The sequence below is a fragment of the Homo sapiens genome, chromosome 7, assembly GCF_000001405.40.
Source record: "Homo sapiens chromosome 7, GRCh38.p14 Primary Assembly".
In the NCBI taxonomy this organism is placed as follows: domain Eukaryota; kingdom Metazoa; phylum Chordata; class Mammalia; order Primates; family Hominidae; genus Homo; species Homo sapiens.
Genome location: NC_000007.14, coordinates 104,268,397 through 104,278,695, shown reverse-complemented (window position 1 = coordinate 104,278,695; position 10,299 = coordinate 104,268,397). Strand labels below are relative to the sequence as shown.

The 10,299-nt window shown below is 40.2% G+C and overlaps 1 annotated feature.

Moving 5' to 3' along the window:
• Nucleotides 1,608-2,807: an enhancer, noted in NCBI's record as "BRD4-independent group 4 enhancer chr7:103916337-103917536 (GRCh37/hg19 assembly coordinates)". NCBI's record gives its function as "activates an origin of replication core promoter dependent on BRD2, P300/CBP, MED14 and CDK7 cofactors, and independent of BRD4, by STARR-seq in HCT116 cells {active_cell/tissue: HCT116}" and the evidence as "EXISTENCE:reporter gene assay evidence [ECO:0000049][PMID:35650434]".

The following is a 10,299-nucleotide window of genomic DNA, read 5'->3' as shown; positions in this document are numbered from 1 at the left end:
CATTTACATTTAAAGTTAATATTGTTATGTGTGAATTTGATCCTGTCATTATGATGTTAGCTGGTTATTTTGCTCATTAGTTGACGCAGTTTTTTCCTAGCTTTGATGGTGTTTACATTTTGGCATGATTTTGCAGTGGCTGGTACTGATTGTTCCTTTCCATGTTTAGTGCTTCCTTCAGGAGATCTTTTAGGGCAGGTCTGGTGGTGACAAAATCTCTCAGCATTTGCTTGTCTGTAAAGGATTTTATTTCTCCTTCACTTATGAAGCTTAGTTTGGCTGGATATGAAATTCTGGGTTGAAAATTCTTTTCTTTAAGAACGTTGAATATTGGCCCCCACTCTCTTTTGGCTTGCAGAGTTTCTGCTGAGAGATCCGCTGTTAGTCTGATGGGCTTCCCTTTGAGGGTAACCCGACCTTTCTCTCTGGCTGCCCTTAACATTTTTTCCTTTATTTCAACTTTGGTGAATCTGACAATTACGTGTCTTGGAGTTGCTCTTCTCAAGGAGTATCTTTGTGGCATTCTCTGTGTTTCCTGAATGTGAATGTTGGCCTGCCTTGCTAGATTGGGGAAGTTCTCCTGGATAATATCTTGCAGAGTGTTTTCCAACTTGGTTCCATTCTCCCCGTCACTTTCAGGTACACCAATCAGACGTAGATTTGGTCTTTTCATATAGTCCCATATTTCTTGGAAGCTTTGTTCGTTTCTTTTTATTCTTTTTTCTCTAAAGTTCCCTTCTCACTTCATTTCATTCATTTCATCTTCCATCACTGATACCCTTTCTTCCACTTGATCGCATTGGCTCCTGAGGCTTCTGCATTCTTCACGTAGTTCTCGAGCCTTGGCTTTCAGCTCCATCAGCTCCTTTAAGCACTTCTCTCTATTGGTTATTCTAGTTATACATTCGTCTAAATTTTTTTCAAAGTGTTTAACTTCTTTGCCTTTGGTTTGAATTTCCTCCTGTAGCTTGGAGTAGTTTGATCGTCTGAAGCCTTCTTCTCTCAACTCGTCAAAGTCATTCTCCGACCAGCTTTGTTCCGTTGCTGGTGTGGAACTGCGTTCCTTTGGAGGAGGAGAGGCACTCTGCTTTTTAGAGTTTCCAGTTTTTCTGCTCTGTTTTTTCCCCATCTTTGTGGTTTTATCTACTTTTGGTCTTTGATGCTGGTGATGTACAGATGGGTTTTTGGTGTGTATGTCCTTTCTGTTTGTTAGTTTTCCTTCTAACAGACAGGACCCTCAGCTGCAGGTCTGTTGGAGTTTGCTAGAGGTCCTCTCCAGACCCTGTCTGCCTGCGTACCAGCAGCGGTGGCTGCAGTACAGCAGATTTTCGTGAACCGCGAATGCTGCAGTCTGATCGTTCCTCTGGAAGTTTTGTCTCAGAGGAGTACCTGGCCATGTGAGGTGTCAGTCTGCCCCTACTGGGGGGTGCCTCCCAGTTAGGCTGCTTGGGGGTCAGGGGTCAGGGACTAACTTGAGGAGGTAGTCTGACCATTCTCAGATCTCCAGCTGCATGCTGGGAGAACCACTGCTCTCTTCAAAGCTGTCAGACAGGGACATTTAAGTCTGCAGAGATTACTGCTGTCTTTTTGTTTGTCTGTGCCCTGCCCCCAGAGGTGGAGCCTACAGAGTCAGGCAGGCCTCCTTGAGCTGTGGTGGGCTCCACCCAGCTGGAGCTTCCCAGCTGCTTTGTTTACCTAATCAAACAACTAACTGGGCAATGGCGGGCGCCCCTCCCCCAGCCTCGCTGCCACCTTGCAGTTTGATCTCAGACTGCTGTGCTAGCAATCAGCTAGACTCCCTGGGCGTAGGACCCTCCGAGCCATGTCCGGGATATAATCTCCTGGTGTGCCGTTTTTTAAGCCCGTCGGAAAAGCACAGTATTGGGGTGAGAGTGACCTGATTTTCCAGGTGCCGTCTGTCACCCCTTTCTTTGACTAGGAAAGGGAACTCCCTGACCCCTTGCGCTTCCCGAGTGAGGCAATGCCTCGCCCTGCTTTGGCTCATGCACGGTGTGCTGCACCCACTGTCCTGCGCCCACTGTCTGGCACTCCCTAGTGAGATGAACCCGGTACCTCAGATGGGAATGCAGAAATCACCCATCTTCTGCATCGCTCACGCTGGGAGCTGTAGACTGGAGCTGTTCCTATTCGGCCATCTTGGCTCCCGACTGTGTGAAGCAATTCTTGATGGAGGAATTCTCTCTGGCCAGTGATCTATCCTAATTATTCAAGGCAAGTATGCAAATGAGAAAGAAAATAAAAAGTTAAATTGTAATTTCTCTGAAAATTAAAATCAAGGTAAAGTGAAAGTCTTAGACATGACAAAACAGAGTATTTATTTAACAGAAATCATAGTACTCATTGGCTACAGAAATGAGTTCAGAAAGAACAATCATATTATAGTAGTCTTTTCCCTTTTGGATGAGATTTTGGTTTGGTAGAACAGAGAAACAGCATAGACATTTGATATATCTTGATTTCTAATAAATATTTAAAGTGTATTTTAATGACAGTCTCATGAGTGGGTTGTTGACATGACAGTACCATGGGTGAGTCATGGGAGCTTTCACAACCACTGTAGGTGCTTATGAATGACATCATGTGGATGTCGTTTGCCACTTCCTGAGTGAATCTTGACACACAGCACTGCCAATAGAGCCGCATCTCCAGTAGCGTGTTAGAGGCTCTTCCTTTACTTAAGTGACTGAAGTCAACAATATCAGTGACTTGGTTGAACTCCCAGAAAGCAAGATTTCAGAGGTCAAAATTAGGAATGATGATTTATGCAATAGAAAGAACTTATACCATAGATCACATAATTACAATTCAGTATCCCTATGAGCTAGAACACTGGATTAAAATCTATAGCGTGAAATTCAGTAGAAATAAATGATAATTCCTGTATTTTTCATTAAAAAATGTATGCTTTGAAAGTATGGAAAGAGGTTGTTTTTCACACAGGAAAAAAAAAAACTTAACGTGAGCCAGTGTCAAGCAATGTGAGTTTGCTGCCAAACAACACATAGAACATCAATCCGCCTTTAAAAGAATAGAGTCAAGAGCATGAGATTAATAGTTTCTTGACTTCTAGGCTGAACAGTTTATGTCTGGAATACTGTATTTTATTTTTTTAGCAGCACATCTTAAGGAAGACATAGACAAATTGTGAAGTATCCAGTGGTGATTGGAGCAACCTGGACACTATGGTAACTGAAAAGCAATAGATTCATGTGGATAAGAGAAAACTAAGAAAGACCATCACAGAGATTTAGAAATATATATTTGAACATTTTTTCCTACAGAAATGAGATAATAAATTTGTTTTCATTTAAAAAACAAATGACAAAAGCAGAATCAATAAGGGAAAAGACTTCAGATCCATCTTAGGAATGCTTATTTAAATAACTTGCACAGTGCTACAGGTTTTCATTTGCATTACAGTAGGTCTGAGAAAGGTCTACCACAGCACACAGGCAGTAATTAAGACATGTAATGAATCAAAGGAGATGGTATAGATTAAGAAGAGAAGATTACTGAGGGTGAAACATTGACTTGAAGTTGTTGACAATCCAATGTGATTGAGAAGGAGAAACTCTAGAATTAGGAAGAGACAGAAAATAGTATCATTTCTTGGAAGCCAAATGAGGAAGCCAAGAAGGAATAAAATGGCCAACAGCATTCCACTAAAGAGAGGTCAAGTAAAATAAGAACAGAAAAAGCAGTCTTTGGACTTGACAAGCATAATGTCTTTGGTGATCTTAGTGATTTTAGTCACATTGTGAGGACAGAGGCCAAATTGTAAATGATTGTGGGAAAATGAGAAGTGACAAAAGGGAGCAGGCACTGAAGCTTATTTCTTCCAAAATGTTATCTGAAAGGCTCCAGAGGAAGGGAAATGGGGACAATGTTATGAACTGAATGTTTGTATCTCCCTTAAACTCATGGTGAGGTACTATCCCGCAAAGTGATGGTACTTGGAGATGCGGCATTTGGGAGGTGATTGGGGTTAGATTAGGCCATGAGGGTGGGGCCCTCATGATGGGATTAGTGGCCTTATGAGGAGAGAAAGAGAAAGAAGTCACTTGCTCTCTCCACCATGTGAGGACACATCAAGAAGGTGGCCATCTATAAGGCAGGAAGACAGCCTCCACCAGTCACTAACCATGCTGGCACCCTGTTCTCAGACTTCAAACATTCAGAACTGTAAGAACAAATTTCTGTTGTTTAAGCCATCCAGTCTGTGATAGTTTATTTTGGCAGCCTGAGCTAACTAATACAGGCAATAACAAAAATGCTATTCTGAACCAAGGGAAAAGCTTTTAAATTTAATTGTTTTAGGATAGGCAATACTGAGTCTGTTTCTACAATGAGAGGAGGATGCCAATGAAAAAACAAAAGTTTAAGAGACAGAAGATAACGAATAATCAATGGAGCAAAACTCCCAAGGAAGCAGTAGGAAGTAGGACTGAGGGCGAGATGCAGGGATTGGTCTTAAATAGGAACAACACATATTGGGTATGTATGAAAAAGATTTTCAGAACCACTGCTCATGACTGGTTGATGAAATGTTTAGTATTTTGTATACAGGCAGTGTTGGAAAAGAATAAAGTGCCAGGCTGGAGAAGGATGGAGTCCACAAAATAATCGGGGGCTAAGCTTGTTTACTACAAACCCTCCAGAAATTACTTTCCTTCAATTAGAGGAGCCTTAACTCATTACAGTTAAAGTTTCTCTAATTGTAGGAAAATAATTTCTGGAGGGCTTGTAGTAATCAGCATGGGGTAATGGAGAAAATTTTATTTTCATTGTAGCTATAAGATAAAAAGACGCAATGAACAAAAAAGAAAAAAAAACTTAAACAACTGCTTCTAAGTGCAGTTGGCAAAAGTCAGGACATATATGCCTATAATAATCAATGAAAATAAATAACATGGCCGGGCACGGTGGCTCATGCCTGTAATCCCAGCAATTTGGGAGGCCAAGACAGGCAGATCACGAGGTCAGGAGATGGAGACCATCCTGGCTAACACGGTGAAACCCTGTCTCTACTAAAAATACAAAAAGTTAGCTGGGCGTGGTGAAAGGTGCCTGTAGTCCCAGCTACTCTGGAGGCTGAGGCAGGAGAATGATGTGAACTCGGGAGGCGGAGCTTGCAGTGAGCCAAGATAGAGCCACTGCACTCCAGCCTGGGCGACAGAGCGAGACTCCATCTCAAAAAAAAAAAAGAAAGAAAATAAATAACATATTACTGATCACAATAGCCAAAAGCATGTTCTAGATTTCCAATGCAAATCTAAATGTCAGAAAAGTTTTTCAATGCGGAGAATAATTTCACCTCGCGTGGGTTTACTAAATGTCCAATATATAAGATATAAACTTGTATTTCAGTATTGCGTTCCTTTTAAAGCACATTTAATATTTTCTGGGCCCTATTAGTCTCTGCTGATAACCATTATTAATACAATTTAACCTTGACTTTTCCTGCTACTATAACTTAGAGAATGTTATGTACTCCCCAAGTAACATCTGACAACTCTCAAGTACACAGATAGTTTGCTATTTCAAGTTTCATTGCCTTTTAGCATTTGCCCAGGAAGTAATAAATGCAAGAATCAAAGCATGACTGTTTTGTATAGACTCATCTATATATAATATAAATAGCCTGATTACAGACAATCATCCAACCAGCCTGATTTGCAAACAGAGGAAGTTTTAAGACACTGCCATCTACTGCAATGGCCAGAAATTGCATAGGCATTTTATGAACTGAAAGGAGACAAGAGAAAATGTCTTACCATGCCATCCCCAGCTATATCAGTAAACTGTTGAAGATGATTTGAAATAATAATTAAGTGACTGTTCTAAAGCATTACACTGTCAAATACAGCTTTTAGAATAGCGAGGCTTGTTCAAAGGGGCAGAATTGAGGCGTGATTGTGGGTTCTAACACAGAAAGGCTGGTAAGAAATGAGTGTATTTAGTATATTGCTTCTGTTAGTGGCCAAGAACCTATTGGGAATCACTAAGTAATCATCACTTTGAGGTTTAACCAAGCCTGGTTTAAAAAGTACACTTACAAAATCTTTAGTGACTTTAAATGGCTTTCAGAGCCCTTGAAATTCTCCATTCAAGGGAGGTCAGACAATTATATTATTAATTCTTTTTTTCTGTAGATTTTTATTCTTAAAAGTTGCTTTCAACAGAATAATTTAATTCATTGATTCTTTTTATATCTCAAGTGTACATATTTGGAAGATAAATTTTATGAGAATATTATCTATAAGGCCTCTATTACCCTAACATCATGGAAAAGTAACCTTGACTTGAATTAAATTAAAAGAATATGCTTTCATTCTTAAATCTCTATTTTTCTAAGGGGGAAAAAAGGTTCTCTAAATCTCAATCATTTTTATATGTTTGCCTTTTACTGAAGTGTATGATCTATTATTTGATTTTGCAGTTATTGTCTAGTAATACACACTAAGGTGCCATATCTTATGATTTTCACTGGCAAGACAAATATAAACAAGCAAGATAAATAGCCTGATGACCCCATGGATCAGAACTTTGGATCTTAATGTTTACTCATGATCTTTCACAGGCTTCTATTCATGTATGTGCCACGAATACCAAGTTTACCTACTTGGAATCTCTGAATAAAGCATATCGACTTAGAGAAAAGAAGTGAGAGTAAACATACTAGGTTGGTGCCCTCCTATTCTAACTGTTAATCACTAGAACAAGCAATTGTTTTAAATGTGTGGTAGGGAATTCTGTAGATTTAAGTTCATCATTTTAAATTGGACTCAAGTTATATAGTCCTAGTCATTTAGTTTTTCAATTACTTACTTACAAAAAGACTAAATGCAGTAATCTAGAGAAATAATTATTAATATTTAATGCAGATTAAAAGTTAATAATTATTATTCTGATTAATAATCAAAATTCTTTTGATAAAGATCTTTATTTATCTGCTATGATAGTTAACTTTATGTGTCAAGTTGGCTAGGCCATAGTGCCCAGATAAGTGGTTAAACATTATTCTGGATGTTGCTGTGAGGATGTTTTGGGGTCAGGTTGACATTTAAATAAGTGGACTTTCATTAAGGCAGATTGGCCTCCATAATGTGGGTGGGCTTCATCTAAAGGCCTGAACAAAAGGCTGACCTGCCCTGAGCAAGAGGGAATTCTGCAGCAAACATCTTTTCAGACATGAATTGCACCATTGGCACTTCATGGGTCTCTAGCTTCACAGCCCAAACTGCAGATTTTGGACCTACCAAACTCCATAATCACATGAGCCAATTCTTTAAAATGAACATCTTTCTATATATGCATACACATCCTAATGGTCCTGCTTTTCTGGAGGACCCTGAATAATACACATGGTGCTTAATTTTAAAAATGTAAGATACATATTTTATTAGAGTTCTCAGTTTCAAGCAATAGAATCTGACTCTGACTGACCTAGCTATGTTTTCCATGAGCCCATTGAGTAAGCCTTGGACTGGCAGAGGAAAGAAATTGTCTGACAGCCTCAAGGTGAGTTATGTTGTGTACCTGCTGACCTAGAGGATTATCAGAGGGGCATCTGGTGATCATTCACAGCAGCCAACCCTGAGTCTGTGTTTTAGTCAACCAACAATTCAAACAATACCAATATAATCTTCTCAAACATTAATCCAAATAATCTGGTTAGTACATTCATATTGATAAATTTAGGTCAATTAGGTGTAAAGTTGTATATTCCCCCCTCCTTTTTCTATCTCTTTTAGGATCTATTACTATATGTACTCATTCTTCCTTCCTTTCTCCTTCCTTCCCTCCCTCCCTTCTTTCCGTTCCGTTCATCAACACAAATTAGCTAAATTTTGCAATTCATTTAGTGTGTGCATCTTTTATGTTTGTGTATGACTTTATATTTGCATACCTCATGCTTGATGGAATTTGATTCCAGGTAGAAGCCTGGAAACAATGTGAGGTAGTACAAGTATGGTAGAAGGAGAATTGCCTTTTCCTTGAATGGTAACTGAGATGAGATAATCACAGGGTCTTTATCTCACTTGCACGCAGGAGGGGCCTCCTCATGCAGAGAAGTAGGTGGTGCCTCTCCTGGAAGGAGGCTCAGGGGAGCTTATAAGTTTGGCATCTCAGCCCCTAAATCCTTCCATAAGCTCCCATGCCAATTTGGGGTCCCTTTCTTTCCACTAACTTACTTATAAGAGACAGGCATGGTTATGAATTCAACAGATATGAATTTTAAATTTGATTCTTTAGTATATTATCCTGCAATTACTTTTGTTGAGAGATTTTCATAACAATCATAGACATTCCATGATTTTCTCTTTTCTGTGAACTGAGAATTTAGAAAGTTGAGGCTTTTATTCTTTCTTTAAGGCATTCAATACAGTTAGAAGCAACTGACTTATCCCTTAAATTCCTCACAATCTTCATACTTTTCCTGTAGTAGCAGCCTCTGGGTCACCAAAAGCCTTGCCGTTAATGGATACTCTAGATGTTAATTGTATGACCTAATTTAGTTAGTACATTTCACTGTGTGTGTTTCATGTGATGCCAGAATCCATCTCTTAGTATTACATGAATTTTAGGAGCCACCAGTCCCAACTAGTTCAAATAGCCTATTCCAATTTTTCTCCATTTCTCTGCATTTCTGTTGCCTGTAATCACTTTTGTAATATATTTCTATATCAAGAGTTCTTAGTTATAAGGGAAAAAAAGTAACTTTGGCTGATTAACCACAAACTCTGCTTTATATTAGGATATTAAGAAGCTCATGGAAGTGTAGGCAGAGCTAGACAGTGAGCATTAAGGCTATGCTTCTAGGGAAAATGCTCCAACCCATATGTTAGAACTTCCCTGATAAAGAAATGTCTACCATAGCCCTCACCAAGCACTGATATCAAGACCTTGACTTCTCTGTAACCACTGCTACACTGGTGCCAGGGACTCAACTTGCAGCCACTGACTTCCTTCAAAGCTAAATGCCTCTTATGCTGATCTGGGTCCTCCTAGAAGCGAACATTAAGGTAGAGCTAAGCATGCAGGGATTATGTTAGGGAAAACATGTGTGTGACAGAAAATGGGAGCATGCTAGAATAGCAGGGAGAGCCATCAGACCTCCACCAAAGTCTGACTTTGAGTTCAGGAAAAGGGAGTTAGGGTAGGCAGAAGTGTGCTGGGCTGCTGTACAGTCTAAGGAATATTTGGGAAGGTCCATCAGGGAGTCTTCCAGCTGACGTCAGTTTTTGAAGGACAGGGATAGGGCCTGCCTAGGTGTCCTGTGGCACTCACTGGGCAGCCATGTGGAAGTGTGGCCTCAGTGCAGGTGGCTTTTCGAGGGCAGCAGCTGGGGCCCCATGGCTAATGATACTCCCCACAGTTGGAGGTCTGGTGTGCACTCCTGTGGTGACTACACCTCTGTCACCATGCCTTGCCAGTGTGCAGATGCTCCTACCCCAAGCTGCTGTCTTGAAAATCTAAATGCCATGTGAATGAGTCCCATTTGGAATCTATGTCACACGCCTGTGCATTGACTGCAAAGAAGACTGGGGAGAAGGCATCAAATTCATAAACTACAAATTCCTCAAATATAGCAAGGTTGTTAAAAAATAGGTTGGGCAGACAGAAAACATGACAGATGCTACTCACAATAATGAAAATAAAATATCATAATAAAAGACATAATAAAAGTAGGCACATAAGTTGTGCCTACTTAGCTATTTTATCAACATTTGGTGAATGGTTGAAAAGAACAAGTTTTGTGAATGTCTTTTAGCATTAGAAGAAAAAAGACCAGAAGAGAACAGGAACTGGGGGAAAGAAAAGGAGACAAAATGGAGGGCAGAGATGAGGGTGAGAGAGGAGCAGGAGTGAAAGGGAAGAATCTAGAGGACATGCTAAAGGAAAGAATTTGGAGGGGGTGGAAAGTCATGAGGGGAGGGGAAGAGCTGGGAGAGAAAGGAGAAAATTCAAATCCATGATGCGGCCTCCAACACCCACACTTCTAATCATGATAATCCAAGAGGACACAACAGTAAGAGGTAGTTGGACTTGACCCCAGGTCCCTCTCTCAATCTCTCTCTCTCTCTCTCTCTGTCTGTCTTTAAGATGGGGGTCTCACTCAAGCTAGAATGCAGTGGCATGACTGCAGCATTGACTGGCCAGTTTCAATCCATCCTCCCCCCTCAGCCTCCTGAGTATCTGGGACAACAGGCACATGCCACCATACCTGGGTATTTTAAAAATTATGTGTAGAGATGAGGTCTTGCTATGTTGCTC